This window comes from Homo sapiens, chromosome 10 (assembly GCF_000001405.40).
Source record: "Homo sapiens chromosome 10, GRCh38.p14 Primary Assembly".
Lineage (NCBI taxonomy): Eukaryota > Metazoa > Chordata > Mammalia > Primates > Hominidae > Homo > Homo sapiens.
The window spans coordinates 17685462-17707898 of NC_000010.11; the positions used below are offsets into that span (position 1 = coordinate 17685462).

The following is a 22437-nucleotide window of genomic DNA, read 5'->3' on the forward strand; positions in this document are numbered from 1 at the left end:
CAGATGAGAGTCCAAAAAAAGAGGCACTAAATGCCAGGGTGATCAGTCTAAAGGATTTATTAGGGGAACTTACACAGGAGGGCTGCAGTTTATAGGAGGGTTTAAGGAATTTGGCTCAGGGTTGGGGCTGGTTTCTGTGTGTTTAGCAACATACTTGATCTTTTAGTGTTTTGGGCCACAACCTGAACAACTTTATCAGTGCCTGAGAATGTTCAAGGCCCCAGTTTGGGTCCAAACCTATGGTGGAAAACATGCAGCTGGCTAGGTCACAGAGCGGGACAAGGCACTCTGTTTTTCTATTGGGACACAGAAAGAAAGCAGGGAGAACTGGGGACCCTACAACTGCCCACTCAACTGTAGAATTCTAGTCACACAGTTCAAGAAATTTTTCAATTTTCAATTAGTAATATGTGAGTTTCCCCAGTAAAAATTTGTGCATTCTAAAAGTAATTATTTTTGGCCTTTTTAGGGGGAGTACTGTAAATCAAGAAAAAGTTTTTGTATGTTAAAAGGGAAAATGCCTCATGTTTTTGGGAAAAATGAATAGTTCCAGGTTACAGTAGAAAAATAGCAGTATAGAAATATAGTAAGAATGTAAAATTCTGTACTTTTCGAACATCATGGTTAAATGATAATTCTTTCCCTTTCCTGCTTTATGCAGTTAATATTTATTTTCTACTAATTAATAAACATTGTCTTTTAATGTCCTGAATGTCCATCGAGATTACAACTGTTTATGAAGAGATTCTAATACCATGTTTTTTGTAATGTAGGTGAAAAATGTGGTATACTTACCTATGTATAATAGTGCAAGCAGCCATTTCCAAAAACGACTTCCTATAGGCAAGAGGACTTCTCTTTATTTTCTGAATGTTTTACAGTGAACATATTGGTTTTGTACTTAATAACATCCCGCCTTTTTTTTTTTTTTTTGAGACAGTGTCTCTCTTTGTCACCCAGGCTGGAGTACAGTGGCGTGATCTCAGCTGACTATAGCCTCTGCCTCCCGGGTTCAAGTGATTCTCCTGCCTCAGCCTCCTGAGTAGCTGGGAATACAGGCATGCGCCACCACGCCTGGCTGGTTTTTGTAGTGTTAGCAGAGATGGGGTTTCACCATGGGGATGGTCAGGCCAGTCTCGAACTCCTGACCTTGTGATTGCCCACCTCGGCCTTCCAAAGTGCTGGGATTACAGGCATGAGCCACCGCGCCCAGCCAACATCCTGCCCTTTTAAAAAATTTCCTTTTATTAAACAAATTAAGTTCATGTATAGTCTCAATAAAGCGTTTGCAAATCCATTATATGCTCCTTGACCAAAATACAGATTACATGTGCACTTAGAAAGAATTTTTTTTCTTCTAATAGAGTAATCTAAAAGTCTAACCTTCTCCATTTTTAAAAGCTTTAGCCAATTATTTAGTAAGCATTGGTTTGAAATACATTCATGACATTTCATAGAGGAGTTATTTCTTCTCTGGTATCTGTGAAGGTTTCTTTATATCTATTACATCAAATAGTAAGACTTCAAATTATTGCCGCTATGAAGATACATCAGTATTTTAATGAACTGGCCAGGTTTTTTCCCTTAATAAGCAATGAGTAAAATAATTTATTTTGAAAACTCACTACATTTATCTCTTTCTTTAATACGGAAGAATAATGCCCTGCACACCTGCCTTAGACTAACTTGAATCTTTGTTATACATCAACCATAAAGAGTTATGTTATTTTGGGCTGGGCACGGTGGCTCATGCCTGTAATCGCAGCACTTTGGGAGGCTGAGGCGGGCGAATCAGTTGGGGTCAGGAGTTCAAGACCAGCCTGGCCAACATGGTAAAACCCCGCGTCTGCTAAAAGTACAAAAATTAGCTGGGCATGGTGGTGCGCGCCTGTAATCCTACTCGGGAGGTTGACACAAGAGAATCGCTTGAACCGCATCCCCCACCCCCCTCTGGGAGGCGGAGGTTGCAGTGTGCTGAGATCGAGCCACTGCAGTCCGGCTTCTGCCACAGGGTGAGACTCTGTCTCAAAAAACAAACCAAAAAAAAAGAAAAGAAAAGAAAGGAAAAAAAGTTATGTTATTTTGAAGAAATTAAATTTTCAAAATGATTAACATGCAGTGTACCTCAAACTAGGCCCCAGATAATTAAGCATCATGGAAAAAATGCATAGTCATGAACATTAAGAAGTCAGGAATTTGGAATAAAGGAACTGTATCATTTATTCTCTCCTTCCCACTTTTTTATTGCTTTGCAAAAAGCAGACACTTTTCCTTGTCTTACTGATGTACAAACCTTGCTTCGTTGCAAAATATTCTGAAAAGTCCTTTCAGATCTCCAAAATCTTATTACCTATTTAATGCTTTAATTTGAAGTGAGATATATATGATGGGTTTTTTCATAGTGTGAACATTAGTTTTATTTCGAATAACTATATTTTCTTGTCTATAGCTATGCATAACTTGTGATTCAAAAAACATCACTTAATAACTTTACTATTTAAAATGTCTGTATTAAATCATTGGCTAGGAAATTGGTGCTCTTTTATTTCTTTTTCTATTTTACAGGGTCATCCTAAAGTATGTGAAAAATTAAAGGCTCTTATGGTTGAATGGACAGATGAATTTAAGAATGATCCACAGCTTAGTCTAATATCAGCAATGATTAAGAACCTTAAGGAACAAGGAGTTACGTTCCCAGCTATTGGCTCTCAGGTATTTTGGGAATGAAGTTGTGTGTGTGCTACAGTTTGTTTCTCTTAAATAGCTATATTTATTTGAATTTTTTTCTTCATTCCCAGGTAATTTTTACTACTTCAGAGGAATTTTCGTTAGCTAATTGTGTTAGTAACTAGTTGTATTGCTAGTTAGTAATACTAGTTTTCTGGCATTCAGAGGTGCCAGAAAAGTATTATAATGGAATATTAATGTGCTCTAACCTCTCTACTTCTTTATAAACGAATTGGTTTAACATTTTGCAGTTTTTGAAATTTTTTGGTATAGTTTTTGTTTGTTTGTTTTTGAGACGGAGTCTTTGTTTGTCGCCCTGGGTAGAGTGCAGTAGCGTGATCTCGGCTCACTGCCACCTCTGCCTCCTGGGTTCAGGTGATTCTCCTGCCGCAGCCTCCTGAGTAGCTGGGACTACATGCACGTGCAGCCAGACCTGGAAATTTTTTTTTTTTTTAAATAGAGGTGGGTTTCACCATGTTGGCCAGGCTGGTTTCGAACTCCTGACCTCAGGTGTTCTGCCCGCCTCGGCCTCCCAAAGTGCTAGGATTACAGGTGTGAGCCACCAGGCCCAGCCAGTACAGTTTTAATAATATACACAAAATAGCTTTATTAATTAGGTAACACTGTCTTTTTAAATGCTCTTAATGCTATAATTTTCTACAAAGAATGATAGCTCAGAAATCAGGATATCCTTAAAAGTTAGGGATGACTTGAGAGATTCTTTTGTGGAGGAAATTTATGAATTCCTCTATTAACAATGAGAGGACTTTAGAAGGGGTAAATGGGAAGAGAAGCACCTGAAGCATTTTCTCCTTAGTAAGAGCCGACCAGTACATAAGTCTTCCTTTCCCCAGTGGATATGGCTAAATAGCTTAACTTTGCTCTCCTGTCCACCCTTGTGCCAAAAAAATTCAGTCTCTAATTTATGTCATGTAGAAAAAAATCAAGAAATGTCTTTTTTATTCCTATTTCTATTTTGGGTAACCTTCCTTTAGGATGCCCAACTAATCAAGAGGCTTAAAATATGTGCTGATTTACTACACTGTCTTTCCCCAGTTTATTGACTGGGACAGACTGTAATGAGTGATGTGAAACCATGAACAGAAATCTGTGAGTGTGGAGGGGCTTATGTTTTGACCACTTCAGGGAGTCATGTAGCTTATCTACATTCATCCAGACCTACATGTGCTTTCTTCCCAAGGCATTTCCAGTTTATCTGAGCACTCTTGAGATGTGAAGACTCAAAAATGTATCTGGGAGAGGAAGGAAGCAAAGGACATTCTTCTTCTTAAAAAAATTTTGGTTTAAAATTTTCTTAAAAAAATTATGTCTTTGAAAATTCATTCATTCATAACTGATAGCTGGTTTTTACTACTCAGTATAGTTTCTAGAATCTGTATAATTAAGGAAAAATCTTAAACAGAATAATCCAAGACATTATACATTCCTTGACAACAGAAACAATGTTTATTTATCAAAGAGTAGACTCACTGCAGAGAACCCACCTAGAATAGGTAGAGAAAATGCAAGCCCACTAAATATCTAGAGTCTTTGGTTCTTGTTAACTCAAAACTTGGTTTGACCAGCATCACTGGCATTACCTGGAGGCTTGTTAGAAATGCAGCATGGTTGAACCCACTCCAGACCTATGGGTTCATTATCTCCATTTTAACAAGATCTTCAGAGGATTTATATGCACGTTGAGGTCTGAGAAGCACTGCTGCTCTAGAGGACAGCCTTCAGTGCAAGTGAAAACTGCGTTTCAGTCCACAAAGGGACTTACTCTTGTAAGAAAAGGAAGAATTAATGATTGTGCCATATGTACCCTTGTTTGGTTAATCTAGAATCTTAGCCACGGAAACAGTTTTAGGGAGCCTCTAATCTAATCCGCTCATTTTTACAGATGAGGAAACTGAGACTCAGAATGGTTAAGTGACTTGCCCAGGGACACAGCTCATAGTTGACAGCTGGAACTAGAACACAGGCATGCTGATTCTCAGTCCAGTGTTCTTTTCGCTGCCCGAGTCTGCCTTCTTTGTTAGAGAGGTTAGTGAATATGTGTCTGTCTAGACCAGGCTTCCAGTGGAGTGAATGCTGGCAAGAGCATTATGTCTTGATTGGTAGAGAAACTAGCTTATTCTCTTGTTCAAGAAATTCAGGACATAGAAGAGCAATAGTAAAGATAGGACTTAATTTTCATCCTTTGATCTAGATGTTATAAAGTATGTAACAGCTAATCTTGTCATAGTGGCTATATTTCACCTACAAGAAATACATATAAAGTAAAATATGATGAGGTAGAATGATTTTTTTAGTGGTTTCTGAAAAGCTTATTAGAAACCCTACATGTAAAGAGCTTCACATTAAATGAAAAAAATAAATCATCTAAGTTCAACTGCAGAACTCCCTGTAGATTTTAAAGCCACTTAGTTACTTAAGTTATTACTGTGTTTTCATCAGACTAGATTTTTGTTAGGGCATACTTAACAAAAACCTCTGAAGATATATTTTTCTAAGTATATTTTTTTCATCTGAGTACAGAAGAAAATAATGTAAAAATATTAAGAAAAGTGATAAAGTCACCTGACTCATACTGATGCAGTTCTGTTAGCACTAACTTTTGATGTAAAGATAGAAGTAGGCTAGCAGCACCGCTACCGTAGTTGGCTGCTTAATAAGACAAGTGTTATTGTTACATTTAGAACCTGATGATAGAAAGGAACTTTGAATAAAAAGTGCAGTTCAGAAACATGCGGCTTCACATAGCTTATTTCTGCGCTTCTCTACTGGTAGAGATTTCTTCACACACCATAAAAGTTCAAATCTGTCTAATTGTGAAGTTTGCCAAATTGTGAACAAAAATTTATGTAAACCGTAAAACTTATTTCTGACCAGGCATACCTGTAGTTTTCAGAAGTGTCTGATAATTAAAACATTATCTAAAGAAAATTGCAACTAGAGATAGGTCAGAATTGAGAGTGTTTAAAGTTGTATTCTGTGAACACCAAAAAGTTTTTTTCTTCTCAGCTCTTCTAAAAATAAATGCCTGGCCGGGCGCGGTGGCTCACGCCTGTAATCCTAGCACTTTGGGAGGCCGAGGCGGGTGGGTCACGAGGTCAGGAGATCGAGACCATCCTGGCTAACATGGTGAAAACCTGTCTCTACTAAAAATACAAAAAATTAGCCAGGCGTAGTGGCAGGTGCCTGTAGTCCCAGCTACTCAGGAGGCTGAGGCAGGAGAATGGTGTGAACCCGGGAGGCGGAGCTTGCAGTGAGCCAAGATCTCGCCACTGTACTCCAGCCTGGGCGACAGAGCGAGACTCAAATAAATAAATAAATAAATAAATGCCTGTGCATTTGTTTGACAACACGAAATCCAGTTAAGTGAGGAATGTAGAACTGTATTTTATTATAATGTTGAATATTTTTCCTTTCATACCCTCAACAAACATTGATTGATTGCTTGTAATATTTAGGCACATTCCCTCAGGGAACATACAGTCTGGTTGTGGAGACAGACATGTAATCAGACAATTATAACAGAAGCTGAGATTATTGCCTGTTACAATGTTCCAGTCAGTGTTCTAAGTGCTGTACATGTGGCAATTTGAATGTGTTTTAGAATTTCATTTTTAAATTGTTTGCCCTGGGAATGACAATATACATTCATAACTTTTCATGATCTACTTTGAGTTAATATTTGATGTAAAATATAGCAACTTTGCATCTGTAGAGGTCTGTTTACACTGTAGTTGTCATGTGTATTACCTCTACATACGTTATAAGCCCCGGAGGTAATGTTACATACTTTTTGTTTTAAACCCTGAATGAGCCCATCTCATCTGATTTTGGAATCACATGTGTTAATTTAATACTTTAAATAGGCTGTGAGGTGCCCATGAGGTGTAGGTGCTATTATCGTAGTCATTTTATTGATGAGGAATTTGAGGCACCAAGAGGCTAATTTGCCCAGTGTCATCCAGCTAGAAAGTGGTAGATCTGGGATTTGAACTCATGTCTGTCTGACTCCACAACTTACATTCTTAACCACTCATATCGCAGTACCTTGTTTAAAGGTGTTATCATAATAACAAACAAGAGAATGTGTAATTAACAGGTTGAGGGATGCTTCATTGACAGTGATATTTTAGCTGATTACTGACTGATGTGTTCAAACTCAAAAGGGAAAAAGTGAACGGAGCAAAGGAGCCATAGGGGGAGAACGTTGTAAGTAGAAGTAAATGAGTGTGAGACCTGTAAAGTACCGGTATAGAGACTGCTCAGGAACTGCTAGCAGTTTCTGGTAACTGGCAGAATGGTTGGAAATGAGGTTGGTAAGATAGGCTAAATTCTGATTTGCCTTGAATGCTATGCAAAAACTGAGAGGCCACAGAGCCCATAGGCTTAGAAGCTTGTAATTCCAGAAGTGTGAATTGAATTATATGTTTGTTGTGTATTCCCTTATTTACACAATTTAATAGAGGCAGTGATATACTGTCAGAATTAACTACTTGTAATTTGGTTTACAAAATAGGATTTTTGAGCATTTATATCGTTTTATATATATATCTGAGTTCCTGAAGATAACATCCTGACACTTGATCCAAAAGGAAATGATAACTCTAACTATTAATAGATACTACAGTTTTTTTTTTAACTATTTATGTTTAAAGTAGTCATCTCTTTCTGTCTCCCAGCCTCTTTTCTGGTTTTGGAGTTTTTTTAAACACGTTGAAATCTTCTCTAGTCTGTCTTCTCTGACTTGTGTACCATATGCTTTTAGTTGAACCTCTTCACACAAACCTGGGAGGGTGTGCCTAGGCTGCCTCCTCTAAGTGTCTAGTTGCTCTCTGTGTTCTCCAATTCTGATTCATTTCCCTCTCCCTTTTAAGGTGGAAGCTGCTGCAGTTTGGATTTCTTCTTTCAGAAATCTGTGCTAGATTGATGAGAAAGGTTTTGCAAATTCTTAGGGTGGGTGAGAGGAGGAGAATTTGATAACAACCCTCAAATACTGTGTTCCTCTTTTTTGTTAGGCTGCAGAACAAGCAAAAGCAAGCCCAGCTCTTGTAGCCAAGGATCCTGGTACTGTGGCTAACAAAAAAGAAGAAGAAGATTTAGCAAAAGGTGCGTTTTTAAGTCCCTGATGGTGGGAATAACATAAGCCTTTATTTTTTCTCTGAGATATTTAAAGGTAAAATAAATAGAACTTTATAGCAAAAAGCTGAAATCTGCTTTGTTGCCCTCCTCAGTATTCTTTGCTTTACTCTTGAGAGGCAATTACTGTCACATGTATCCTTTCAGTCTATGTTTTTATGACAGTTTTTTACTATACCGTGTATCCAAAAACAATATCAAGTGCTTTTTTGTGTCTAACAAATTTGTTTTTTGTAGATAGTACACGGGAAATGCCATTTGCCACTTGCTTTTCTCATGCAACATTATGTTTGAGATCTATTCGTGTGATATATCCATTAACTGTTCTATAATATCCAGTGTACTAATGAGTGTACCATATTTTTCTGTCTTCCTACTGATGGACCTGTGGATTATTTCTGATTTTTTTTTACTAAAATTAAGCTGCAGTGAGTATTCTTGTACATATTCTCTGTGCACATATATGTGACCGTCTCTATTATGTGTGACTAAAAGCAATATTGTTGGATCATGGCATTGGTACATCTTCAGTTTTGTTAAATGGTTGTTATGATTTCCTTTTCCATTGGCAGTGTATGAAAGCTATTATTATTAATCTGACAACACTTGGTAGTCTTAAAGAGTTTAACTTTCATGAATCTGGTAGGTTTAAAATGATGTCCTGTTATTTTAATTTTTATTTTTTTGATTGCTAGTGAGACTGAGTTCTTTTTTTGTATATTCACTGGTCATTATGTTTTTCTCTTGGGTAAATTGTCTTTTGTTAAATAAAATAATGATATGTACAAGTCTTTATTTGAAATATTAGTTTGTTATCTGTTGTAATTATTGTAGGTATCTACTCCTGGTTTTTGACCTTAAATTTGATAATGGTGTATTTTATCAAGTAGAAATTTTAAGTTTTGTGAAGGCCAGAGTTGTTTGCTTTTTTATTATGATTTTTACTTTGTAATGGCTTTTGAAAAATATTGTTCCCTACCTCAAGGTCCTAAAAGATAGTTTTCTGTATTGACTTTTAGTAGCTTTAAAGTTTTGTTTTCGTATTGTTTCTTTTATTACTCTAAAACAAGAGCGGAAGAGCAGAAAGGGTTCTGTGTTGAATTGAAAGCAGGATAATCAATGCACTGATATTACATTTCAGAGCCTGAGTGACATATGGTGATGGTCTGCACTTGGGAAGTAGTGGTGGAGATAGAGACACGTTTGAGATCTATTTTGGAGGATTTGTTAGGTTGAGTCTTTAGACTGGTAAGAATTACCCTTGGAGCAATAAAATCTCGATTCTCCAAGATTGCCTTTAAGGCTTTGATTTATTAAGTCTGCAGTGAAGCTTGATATTCTTGACTTTCCAGGCAGTTTTGATGATTATTTTGAAAAAAAGGTCAAGGAAAATATCTGCAGCTAAAAAAGAAAAGTAGATTTAAGAGTTTGTATTTTTTATTACCCAGAATAATTTACATTGTATTTGTTCAGTAAAAATAGGAGTTTTCATGCTGTTCCAATTTTGTTAATTTATTTTTAAACTTTCAGTTGTGAATGAATGAATAAACTGACAAAATGATTTTTGTTCAATGTATCAGGATATGTTCTAGTTTCTAACTATACTATTGAAGGAAGAATACCTTTTATCTTGATGTCTTTTTCTACTTCTTCAGACTGTTGGATATAATAACATTTTGGGTCTTTAAAAACTCATTGTTTTCTAGCCATTGAGTTGTCTCTCAAGGAACAAAGGCAGCAGTCAACCACCCTTTCCACTTTGTATCCAAGCACATCCAGTCTCTTAACTAACCACCAACATGAAGGCCGAAAAGTTCGTGCTATATATGACTTTGAAGCTGCTGAAGACAATGAACTTACTTTTAAAGCTGGAGAAATTATTACAGTTCTTGATGACAGGTAATGTTAATATTACATTTAAAATTTGTATGAAAGTGTGTATGGCTTCTGTGTTTCATATTATTCCTGTTGATTGCAGTTACCAAATACAATAATAAATATTGACCCAGATGCTGCTCTGTATGACAGTTGGCTGATTTGCTTGTGTTATACTGGGTGGATTCTTATTTTGTTGTTTAATTTTTTTCTTATTTATTACTTAGTTTATAATTTGTTTTGGAGGCCTAGTTTAATCTATTCATTTTCGGTTCCACCTAATAATATAGATGGTTACATTATTTAAAAGGTTACAGTTTTAGAAAAACACTGAGTATGTATATGTACTTAATGCAATTTGTAAGAAATATATAATCTATTGAGTTTTTTTTACACAGAACAGTATAGCCATAGGGAACAAATTTATTTTGTATGGAATTACACATTTATTCAGGAGGTGATACAGTGCATCAGTTTATTTTTTTACTATAGCTTTGTGATGTTTTACTTGAAAATGAATTGTTACTGATGCTTGTTACTGATAATGAAGTATTAAAATTTGCAGGTGTTTTTTAAAAATCAGTTCAAATTGATTTAAAGTTCTTCCTGTAGTGTCTCTCTTACTTACTGCCTTAGTCCATTTGGGCTGCCGTAACAAACTACCGTAGACTAACTGGTTTATAAACAACAGGAATTTATTTCTCACAGACAGATTGACTGTGTGTTGAAGGCCCACTTTCTGGTTTGTAGAAGGCTGTCATTTTGCTGTGTCCTCCCATGGCAGCAGGGGCAAATGAGCCCTCTGGGGTCTCTTTTATAAGGTCGCTAATCTCATTCATGACTTAATCGCTTTCCAAAGTCCCCACCTTCTGATACCATTGCTTTGGGGGTTAGGATTTCAACCTGTGAATTTTGGGAAGACACAAACATTCAGACATATTTTAACATTTTTTTTTTTTTGAGTGGAAGAAAATAAAGTTTGAGCTGGTTAGCTGGAAATTGCCCAAAACCTTACGTCTGTTCTTTCAAAAACATGTATTGAGTGCTTGCTAGCTTTCCATATACTAGAGTTTACACCTAGGAGTGTACTCTTTGCGAATGTTTTGCACTGTGAACAGTGTCATCTTTGACATTCGTTCTGTTGGGAGAAAAAAAAAACCTTGCTGCTGTGTACCAGAAAGAGCAATGATTTAGGAATGGAGACTGAAAATAAGAGCCTGTCTTTATAGCTCATTACAAAGACTTCTTACTCTGGAGCCTGTGAACCATCTGAAGCTGACAATTTTTTCGTATTGGTGCCTCTTTTTTTGGGAGAGAGTCCATAACTGCAGAGCATGCATTGGCAGTCAAGAAGATAAACAACTGTGTGTTGAATAGCTTCTTACCTTTTCTGAGGCTTCTTCTTCTTTTGTAATAAAGGAAGATTCATTGGCTTTTTCAGTGGGTTATTGTGAGATTCAAATTTTGTAATAGTGTAAGTTGAATACTACAAAAGATAAAGATGTACAGAAATAAATACATTTGTTATGGTAAAGCATTGTTTTTTGTTTGTCATAGTGATCCTAACTGGTGGAAAGGTGAAACCCATCAAGGCATAGGGTTATTTCCTTCTAATTTTGTGACTGCAGATCTCACTGCTGAACCAGAAATGAGTAAGTATTTTCCAGCCTGCCAATAAATGATGTTTTCTAATCCTTTTCTTAATGGAAGTTGAGTAAACTGAACTTTTTAGAGCAGTGTTGCCCAGGCTGGAGTGCAGTGGTGCGAGCTCGGATCATTGCAACCTCCGCCTCCTGGGTTCAGGTGATTCTCCTGCCTCAGCCTCCTGAGTAGCTGGGATTACAGGCACCCGCCGCCATGTCCAGCTGTTTTTGTGTGTGTATGTATTTTTAGTAGAGACAGGGTTTCACCATGTTGGCCAGGCTGGTCTTGAACTCCTGACCTCAGGTGATCCACCCGCCTCAGTCTCCCAAAGTGGTGGGATTACAGGCGTGAGCCATCGCACCTGGCCTAACTTTTCTTTTTCATATGTATCTATGTAGAGGTCATTGTAAAAATGCAAATTCATTAAGAAGTCTTACAGAATTTATACATTATATATTTTTCTTACCAGTTGATTACAGTGTGACAAGTACAGTATAACCTCAGGGAGGATTTTTCTTGTTCAAAGGTTGGGACCGTTTCTCTAGTGTGTAGTCCCAGACTTGAAAGCAGTGTTCTCCAAGCAACATGTCAGATATTCAGAAGGAGCCATTTTTACTAATCATATAAAAGTTTTTTGTTTGATTTACAAACCCTGCTGAGTAGGATAATAAACTAGAAAGTGGGGCCGTGGAGAAAAAGTGATACTAGTGGCAGGCTTAACAGTTTCAGGAGACATAGCTACATAGTCGGTCAAAGTAGTGAGAGACAGTTTACTATATTTCTACATAATATTGTGCTTTAATGAATCTTCATAATGATGAGTTTAGTCATCAAGCAAAGTTTAAGTCATAATCTCCCCTCTAGGAAAACAGAAAAATATGTTCAAATCTAGAAAGATTTGTATTTGTAATAAAATATTTAAAATTTTTAAAGAGCTTATATGTATAGGTTGATATGCTACAGTTATTTGGCAAAATATCTCATTATCGTTTTTTAATGCTAGATAGAAGGGATCAAAGAAAATTACAAACCACAAGATGCTTAGGTGTTTTTTAGTTTATAAGAATTTTAAGAAAAAAAATCTTTGTCCTGGTCATCTTTTTATTTCCAGCAGCTCCTAATAGTGAGTCTTATAATACATACTACATATTTATAGAATAAATGATACAGAAATATATATGTTAACAATAAAGAGATACTTCACTTCTCTTTCAAGAGAAGGCTTGAACAGCAAACCAGAAATTACAGATCTTTAAGAAAATGGTGCGCTCTCATAGTTATTGCCAGGGTGTCTGGTGTCATTTTTATAGAGACAGATTGGTGAGACCCAGTCTTTCAATGATGTTTTCTATGTCTGTGAGAATTCAAAAACATGTCAACCTTGTTTAAATGGCATTGCGTAGTGTGCTGACTTTTTAATAACCTGGGCTGGTAATGATGTTTTGTTTGTTTTTGGACTATTTTTTTGTCCTGAATCAGTTCCTGGAGAGGATAGAATTGCTTGGAGTTCTGTTCAAGATAAGGTCAAGGATCTCATGTAGATCCTGGAGCCATTTCATCTTTTTTTTTTTTTAAGTCATATAGCAATGCAGCTTCAATATGAGTTTTCTAGTTTTTCTCATGTTTTTCACTCTGGACGATCTAAAAGAGAAACTGAAGCATCAGAGCCTATGTAGTGGGGTTGTAGTTCTCAAGCGTGGAGAACAGGTGCAGGTGCTAGCATGATCCCCAGAGCATCATTCTTTTGAGGAAATAGAAGTCTATTTCACTTAGCCTGTCAAAGAGAAATAGCTGCCCTATTTAGCTTGCTTTTGGTTTGGAGATACAGTAAAATATTGTGAAATCCCTTTGTTATATATTGTATATAAATAATATATTTTTTTACACACACATAGTATTAGTTCCTGTGAGAAAAGGGGTTGCAAACTTGCGCGTCAAGAGCTGTTAGAATATGAAGTCTGCCATGTTTTTCTTATGGGTAATGGCCAATGCAGTGCTATCCCAGCTTTCTACTTGTAATAGCTCAAGATATAAAAAGCAAAATGTCTGCAGCAGATGTTTCTTTTCCTTTATAGGAAAATGAATCAGCTGTAGAATTTTGCTTTTGGTGACTTGAATGGAATGATTATATTTCTTAGGTTGGAAATTAAGCTATTTCTGTGTTATACAGAAGCACACAACACGGAGTACCCAAGTGATTGGACTTCATGTTCTCGGGGTAAAATCACTGGCACAGGCCAGATTTCAGTAGTATGGGCTAGTAGAGCAAGATAGATTGGCATTCAAATCCAGGCTTTGTCATTTATTAGCTTTCTCTTTTACAAAAGTTTTTAATCTTTCCAAACTACCTTATTTATAAAAAGGGCATATCTCATAAGATTGGGAGATTCATTGGAGGAAATGTAATATTCCATCAAGCATATTCAATAGTTTAATAAACATTATTTCCCTTCCTTAAATTGCCCCCTCCTGTCTTCCTTTCCATCATGATTCTTAATATTTTTATGAATTGATTGACCACATTGATGCAAGGATTAAAAATATAGAAAGGAAGTTTGTTTAGTAGAGTTGTATATGCCTTTCAGTAGTATTTGGAGGTTGTTATATAGCTACTGTTATGTTAAATTGTTTTTAAAGATTGCTTTGGTGAGTAGGAGAAATCTGTGCTTCTGGCCAATGAATTGTTGATCCCTCAATGACCACTTTTTAATGTCAAATGATAATATTATATAACTAGAAAATACAGGCTGATTTGTTGGAAGACTGAGACCCCTGTCAAGGCCACCTGCAAAGTTCTCCACTGGCATGGACGGCGCTCTCTAAACGCCTACGTGGCACGCCAGATAATACATAGCTGATTTTCCCATTCATTACATTGGAGTAGTGTGGATTTTCTGTCAAACCAGATTTTTTTTTTCTACCAAATGAGATTTTTTCTTGAAGGATTAGTAATTTAAAAAGAGGGTTTATTTTAAATTGCAGAATTCACTTAGGCCATTGTAAAACTTTGCTTTTGTCCTCCAGCTTACTAAACTCTGATGTGTAGTAGGTGATTAACCTTTTTTCAGAAATACAACTCTTATTATTAGTGAAATCTCTTTTTATGGAAACTGTAAAATGTTTACAAGAGAAAATTAAGAAATCCAATTTCATAAAGTAATGTTGTGTTATTACTGCCAAAATCTGCAACTCAGTTATTTCTTAAATTGCGCCTTTTAGCTTGCTGGGAGTATAAGAAAAATCCCCAAATCTCTCTTGGAAGTTAAAGTGCTTTAAAGTAGAATTTTAAATGTATTATTAAAAAAAGATAACTTTTACATATCTTACAGTTAAAACAGAGAAGAAGACGGTACAATTTAGTGATGATGTTCAGGTAGAGACAATAGAACCAGAGCCGGAACCAGCCTTTATTGATGAAGTAAGTGGTTTCCATGGTGATAGGAGTTGGTACTTTGTATTGAAATTTAAATGGTTTTGCTTTAAGAAAAAATTGATTACTTGAGTTTTTTTGTTGTAAAAATTTTTGTATTTTTTTATAAAAATTCAAGCAATATAGACGATGCAGACTGTTTTTTGAAACTTCCTCTCCAGTCCTTTGTTTGCCGTGCCAGAGCCTCATTATTTTAAATTCCTGCTGAATATTCTGTAGAGTGGCCTTACCATGATTTATTTAATCTATTGTTGAATGCCTAGGTTGTTTACAGTTTTTACAGTGTAGTAGTGAGATTTTTTTTTTTTTTGAACATCTATCTTTGTGTTTCTTTAGGGTAGATATTCAGGAGTGAAACTATTGAGTTGAAGGATTTGTGTATTTTCCATGTTAATAGATAATGTCAAATTGTTGAGCAAAACAAGTTTTTACACTCGTATTCATATCATGCGAGAACTCCTGTTTCCCAGCATACTCAACAAGGATATTAAGATTGTTTGCACATGACTGAGGAAGGGACACTCATTGACTATCTATTGAAACAAATAAATTACTGTTGTAAAAATAAAATTGTCATTAAATTACTTCTACATAAATCATTGCATAAAAGCAGTGCTAATATATTGAATATCATTGGAGATGATTCATGATTCCTCCTTGTGTTGAACACTTTCTAGTATTTGAGGAAAAGCTTACGCTAATTTTATATTAAATGTCTTCATATGTCATTGTCACACCTGAAACAATGTATATTTTTAGTAATTATGCTCAAAAATATAATATCAACTTGGTGACACACCATACTTTTTGGAGCCACATAATGGTACCCAAATTGGTATTATTGGGATTTAAATTTGAGATTTCTTGAATTAAGTTAATCACTCCTATTTAGTTAAGTTTTATAGAAATATCTGCTGTTACTGCATATAAAGAAAAGATTAAAACTGGCTACCTTTTTCATCTTTAAGCGTGTTTATGAAAAAATAAAAAGTATGTTTGTGGTTGTCTTTTTCTACTCAAACTTATTACCATGTTTTAAAAATAACATTAACAACTGTTGAGTTAATAATACATTAAATTATGCAACTAGCAAACCATTAAGGATTTTTGAAGTGTCACATTGTATAGATCAGGAGTTGGCAAACTCTTAGGCCAAATTTAGCCTGTTGCCTGTTTATTGGAACACAGATAAATTTGTTTATATATTGTTTGGCTGCTTTTGTGCTGCAGTGGAAGAATTGAGTAGTAGCAACAGAGATCATATGGCCTGCAAAGCCTGAAATATTTACTGGCGGGCCATTACAGAAAAAGTTTGCTTGGCCCTTGGTATGGATAATTTAAAGAGAATCTTTTCCGATCCTCAGTTACCATAGCATTCTTTCCTAAAATTGATCTGCCCGAGAACATTCTCTCCTACCATTTTCGTTTTTACCCCCCTCCTCTCCCTTTTCAATTCTTCTCTCCAACTTTACGGAAGAAAGGCTTACCGCTTGCCCGTAGTGAAGATTACTGTGGTACATTGCCTCAGAGTATAAGAATTACCAGGGATGATTTCATATACTGGTTTTGGTATTAAGAAAGTCATGGCTCTAATGACTAGTTAACACAGCTGAGATGGTTCCATATTTTTTGTTTTTAAAAAATAGGACCAAAATGAATTTTCAGCTAGTAGATCATTAAAAATAATTTTTAATGACAGACCACTGTCATTCCATTCCATCTTTCAGAAGATACCGAAAGAACTTAATGAAATTGCTATAATAGCTTGATTATATGAACAAAATTTCTCCTCACTTTCAACTATAAAAACAAAAAATAGGAATAGAACTGGTGCTGAATCCTGGCTCATTTTACTTTTCAAAACTTGAAATATAGTTAATGTTGTTTTGACCCTTTGCATATTAATAATAATAATCATTACCTTATACATATGAATGAATCTAATACTGAGAGTATTATCAGTTTACATACTTTTAGTGCAAAGAAATCCCATATGGTCATCGGTAGAAAACTTTCAAGTATATTAGGATAAAATTTTGGAGGGGAAATTGAGTAGAAATATGATAAGTTCAAGGAAAAAAACAATTTGAAATACATGACAGAGACTGTTGTTTGAATGGTAATGGTGAGTGCAGATTGCTGTGGTGTTTAAATTCCTTTGGCTATATTTAAAGGAATTTTTGACTATTTTATTTTAAAATGTCAACACTTAATGTCCTGGGAATCTTATCCTTTGTAACATTTTAAATGTATAAGAAATGAGATGTTATCTTTGAAATATGTGAAGGGGTTTATGGGCTTTTAGCAATCTTTTATGGGAGGCAGAAACAAAATTTGAAGAGCGAAACAGACTGTGGAAGACTGTGCTAAGGGCAAGGAATCCACCTGGGCTAGGAGAAGTGATGTTTGGCTGATTGCATTATATAAGAAAATGCTGGCCAGGCGCAGTGGCTCTCGCCTGTAATCCCAGCACTTCGGGAGGCCGAGGCGGGCAGATCACGAGGTCAGGACATTGAGACCATCCTGGCCAACATGGTGAAACCCCGTCTCTACTAAAAATACAAAGATTCGCTGGACGTGGTGGTGTGCGCTTGTAATCCTAGCTACTTGGGAGGCTGAGGCAGGAGAATCGCTTGAATCTGGGAGGCGGAAGGTCGTAGTGAGCCAAGATCATGCCACTGCACTCCAGCCTGGGAGACAGAGTAAGACTCCATCTCAAAAAAAAAAAAAAAAAAAGAAAAGAAAAGAAAAGAAAAGAAAATACTTGCAGAAGCAGACTAATCATCTATGTAGAAACCCTACTTCTTTGACACTAAATAATTTTAAATATTGTATAGTATTCTGTAAGCAAACAAAACGGAAACCATCTGTGTGTTAATGGACTCTCACTTTCATTTGACCTTTTTTTGTGTGTGGTAGGCAAACTTTCTTGACATGTGCTTTTGTTTTTTAAGACTGCTTAAAATGAAAATTGTGAATAATTTACATTGAAAATTGGTATCCATTTCAAAAAAACAGAATTATTTTGACTTGGGAAGAGTTTTTTTTTTTTTTAGCATACTTATGTCACTTTCACTCTCTGATGATTAATTCGTTTCTCAAGCTATTTTCCTTTTACACAGAACATAGTTTTTAAATTTTAAATAATTACTTTGCTTAGGATTAGTAGTCTTTATTTGCCCTGCGTACCTATATATAGTAGCATAACCATGTAAAAACCATGCATGGAGAAAGGTTTGTAATTATTTTAGTAGTGGTCATGGTAAAGTAGATCTGTTTGGATTTTTTAAAAAACATAAATACATATATACTTATATATCGTATAGATGTGTGTATGTAATAATGGTTTCATTCATTCCATTGGTCTGTACAACAAAAGATTCTGAAATAGATCTGTGTCACTGGTTTGAGGTACCTTCCAGCCTCTCCCAAATAGGAAAATAGAGAAACCACTAGTCTTCCTCCTTCCTTTTATGACCAACTGAAACACTGGTAGAAAGAAAATGTGGAATAAACCCTAAGAGTCCCACTTAGAAGAGCAGCTGTGATACAGCTGAGCTCTGCCTTACTGAAACAGCTGCTGTATTCACCATGGGCAAGTAGGAATGACAAGTTGTTAGTCATAAGCAATGCCATCTTGAGATGGATAGTACACTTGTTGGCATGGCTAAGCTAAAGCTGCTCCGAAACAAAGCAAAATCCTCTGGCATGACATAAGAGGTGGAAGAACTCACGCATTGTAAGTTTAAATGTGGCTTGATTTCTTCTCGCTTAAGAGAATCTCTGTTAGCAGTTGGTTGGTTGGTTTATTTATTTATTTAAACAGGGTCTTGCACTGTTGTCCAGACTGAAGTGCAGTGGCGAGATCATAGCTCACTGCAGCCTTGACCTCCTGGGCTCAAGTGATTCTCCCACCTCAGCCTCCTGAGCAGTTTCAAAAATATATAGGAAGTACTTTCAAGGCTCTGACTTCATGCAGTACTAGAGAGAATAAATACATGGGACACTGACAACATAAAAGCAAAATTGGAGTCTCCATAACTATGAATTTCAAAAGTTTGTCTAGTTGATAATAAAGTGAAAACATAAAGTTGCCTAAAGGTTGGTAGCTTTTTATATTAACTACTTAATTCCTGTAGGATAAAATGGACCAGTTGCTACAGATGCTGCAAAGTACAGACCCCAGTGATGATCAGCCAGACCTACCAGAGCTGCTTCATCTTGAAGGTAAAACTTTTCTATTTACCTTGCAAATAAAGAGTAGTTAGAGGTTAATAACTGGTGTCCTGTTAAAGAATGGGTTTTGAGGATAATATTAAAAATGGAACATTTCTCACTTCTCCTTGACCCAGGCTCACTCTCATATGCAGTTGAAACCTTGGGTAGAATTTGAATTCTTATAATTTTCTATCCAAACGAAGTGTTCTGTTCAACATTTTAGAACCTGGTAAAATGAAAAATGGCACTTTAAGATTTTCAGATTAATATTTTAGATTAAGTTGTCACCATTATACTTTAAGAAAATCAATTTTGGGTTCTGTAGACTAAGGTTAAAGAATGTATATTTTTATTACTCCAAATTAAATCTTTTATTCCTTAAATTATACAAATATCTATCAAAGGTTCACATTTTTTTTTCTTGTACTTTCTTATATTTCTTCACATCTTGTCATTTTAGCAATGTGTCACCAGATGGGACCTCTCATTGATGAAAAGCTGGAAGATATTGATAGGTAAAAGAACATGGGTGCATTTATGTTGTGTACCTTCTTTCCTGAAGCTATCACTGTACTGCAAAGTGGGCTATAACTGCCTTTTAAAAAAAAAATATTGTGGAGGAACCAACTCTCATTCACATATCTTGTGCTAGATGTGGAGAATTAGACTCATTTGTCCTTTTTTTTAAAGTGAGGATTTGATCGACCTTTGCAATATAGTCAAAAGGACCAGCGTAGATAGGTCGTTTTAAAAACAAGGGCTAGCTATGTAATTCTCTTTGCTGAAGTGGCATTACCAGAGCTCACAAATGACCCATATGTTAGTAACTAGGGAAACCAAGATATTTCTGGTACAGTCAGGTACGATAAGACGGAGTTCCCTTAGCACAGCACGTAAACCTTAAACAGTTTGGGTTGCTTCAGGGCTAAAATGCAGGATATTTTTGTTATAAGTGAAATTTTTAATAATGTCTACTAGTACTACTTTTTGCCATTTTTGATATTTTGATGTATCATTATTTAGAGCATTATATCATTTTAGTAACAGCTATGCTTCAAATTATTGTGTCATGTTTCAGAAAACATTCAGAACTCTCAGAACTTAATGTGAAAGTGATGGAGGCCCTTTCCTTATATACCAAGTTAATGAACGAAGATCCGATGTATTCCATGTATGCAAAGTTACAGAATCAGCCATATTATATGCAGTCATCTGGTGTTTCTGGTTCTCAGGTAAGCTTTTAGAAGCCCATGTTGTTTTAAATTCTCAAATGCACAGTGAGGTGTGGTAGCTCATGCCTGTAATCTCAGCAATTTGGGAGGCCAAGGCAAGAGGATTGCTTGAGACCAGGAGTTTAAGACCAGCCTGGGTAACATAGTGAGACTCTGTCTCTACCAAAAAAAAAAAAAAAAATTAGCCAGGCTGGGGCATGTTCCTTGGTCCCTGCTCTCGAAAAGCTGAGGTGGGAGGATAGCTTGAGCCCAGAAGGTCGAGGCTGCAGTGAGCCGTGTTCACACCACTGCAGTCTAGCCTGGGCAACAGCGACACCCTGTCTCTAAAATAAATAAATAAATAAATAAATTCTCAAATGCATTTGAGATTATTTGGAATAGCTGTTTGAAACTTTCTAAAACTAATGTTTAAAATTAAAATAAAGTTTAACGGAATTTTTTTACTTGGCAGTTACAGCATATAATATACTAATTATGCTAATAGTTTTTTGTTGTTGTTGTTGTTTAAAGGAAATAGCTTTTATACAGGGTTATGCAGCAGAATCAGCCATCACACTTTTGAAAAAAATTACAGATATATCCATCCCACTCCAGACCTATTGAATCAGAATCCTCAGGGTTGAGGCCCTTTTTTTTTTTTTTTTTTTTTTTTTTTGAGGCGGAGTCTCACTCCGTGGCCCAGGCTGGAGTGCAGTGCTGCAATCTCAGCTCACTGCAAGCTCCGCCTTCCGGGTTCTCGCCATTCTCCTGCCTCAGCCTCCTGAGTAGCTGGGACTACAGGCGCCCGTCACCACGCCAGGCTAATTTTTTTGTATTTTTAGTAGAGACGGGGTTTCGCCGTGTTAGCCAGGTTGGCCTTGATCTCCTGACCTCGTGATCCACCCGCCTCGGCCTCCCAAAGTGCTGGGATTCCAGGTGTGAGCCATCGCGCCCGGCCGAGGCCCATATTTTTAAAGCTTCGTATGTAATTATTTACTTAAGAACCTTAGTTCTTCATCAGGTTGTGTACACTCAATATGTATAGCCTTTTGCAGGTCAGACATATCTCAATAAAGTAGTTTCGTAAAAAACACAAAATGCTTTTAGAGCTAAGAAAACTCTCTTAAATATCTAATGAACTTCTAGTTATCCTTAAAAGGAAAACTTAAATGCAGTGAAAAAAAAATGAGGTAAAAACCTGTTTTTATTATTACAAACCAACAAAATATATTTCCATAATTTAAAAACTGCTTTAATCTGGAATTTTCCCTGCTTTACATGAGAATGCATGCAATGCAGTGTAGAGCCGTTTGCTTTCTTTTCACCCCAAGCAACTATTTCAAGGACCCCCTTTTCACAAACTCATCACGGTGAGGTGAGGTTATAGGGAATAACTAGCCAGATACTGGCCGGGTGCGGTGGCTCATACCTGTAATCCCAGCACGTTGGGAGGCCGAGGCGGGTGGATCACGAGGTCAGGAGATGGAGACCATCCTGGCTAACATGGTGAAACCCTGTCTCTGCTCAAAATACAAAAAATTTAGCCTGGCGTGGTGGTGGGTGCCTATAGTCCCAGCTACTTGGGAGGCTGAGGCAGGAGAATGGCATGAACCCGGGAGGCGGAGGTTGCAGTGAGCCGAGATCGTGCCATTGCACTCCAGCCTGGGCGACAGAGCAAGACTCCACCTCAAAAAATAATAATAATAATAATAATAAATAAAAACAAAACTAGCCAGATACTCCATTTTTTCCATGTAAAGTGGGCACGGACTGTGTTCAGATTAACGTTTAGCAGAATGAGGGGCCAGCACCCTGTAGATGAACAGCTAGGCCCAAGAAACTTGGGGCTAGAGGGCACCTGCTTTAGAGTCTTGATCACCAGTTTGAGACAAGGAAGCAAAAAACCTTCATGTTCAATTTTCGAAGAATGACAAAATAAAGTTAGGAGGACTGGTATAGCTGTGTTTATAATGAAGACCCTTTGGATCCCTGTGTGGGTCTGTCGTTTAACAGAAGTGCTAAATGGAAGGATCTAATGAATACTGCAGAAAATTAGGACATTATGTGTTTTAGACTTTGGGTAGTTAAGACTTCAATCTCTTTAGATTAAAAAAATGCATTTTGAAATACAGAAGTAGACAAATCCAGCCTGTTGCCTGTTTTTTTTTTTTTTAATAA

At 36.4% G+C, this 22437-nt stretch overlaps 1 protein-coding gene across 10 annotated transcripts in view, besides 1 other annotated feature; it reads left to right on the top strand.

Moving 5' to 3' along the window:
• Positions 1–22437, top strand: part of STAM (signal transducing adaptor molecule) — a 72674-nt gene that overhangs the window by 41311 nt on the left and 8926 nt on the right. For 8 of the 10 annotated variants that reach the window (NM_001324284.2, NM_001324285.2, NM_003473.4 and 5 more), the window contains 8 exons: positions 2566–2712; positions 7761–7851; positions 9588–9780; positions 11314–11408; positions 14730–14818; positions 18970–19057; positions 19509–19563; positions 20127–20280. In NM_001324284.2, coding sequence (NP_001311213.1) covers positions 2566–2712; positions 7761–7851; positions 9588–9780; positions 11314–11408; positions 14730–14818; positions 18970–19057; positions 19509–19563; positions 20127–20280 — 912 coding nt within the window. Of the gene's footprint in view, positions 1–2565; positions 2713–4630; positions 4774–7760; positions 7852–9587; positions 9781–11313; positions 11409–14729; positions 14819–18969; positions 19058–19508; positions 19564–20126; positions 20281–22437 lie in introns of all 10 variants that reach the window. The other 2 variants (NM_001324288.2, NM_001324289.2) reach the window with 1 other exon arrangement.
• Positions 1362–1862: an enhancer, noted in NCBI's record as "H3K4me1 hESC enhancer chr10:17728822-17729322 (GRCh37/hg19 assembly coordinates)". NCBI's record gives its function as "activates a minimal SCP1, AML or CMV promoter by ChIP-STARR-seq in naive H9 embryonic stem cells {active_cell/tissue: H9 hESC(naive)}" and the evidence as "EXISTENCE:reporter gene assay evidence [ECO:0000049][PMID:30033119]".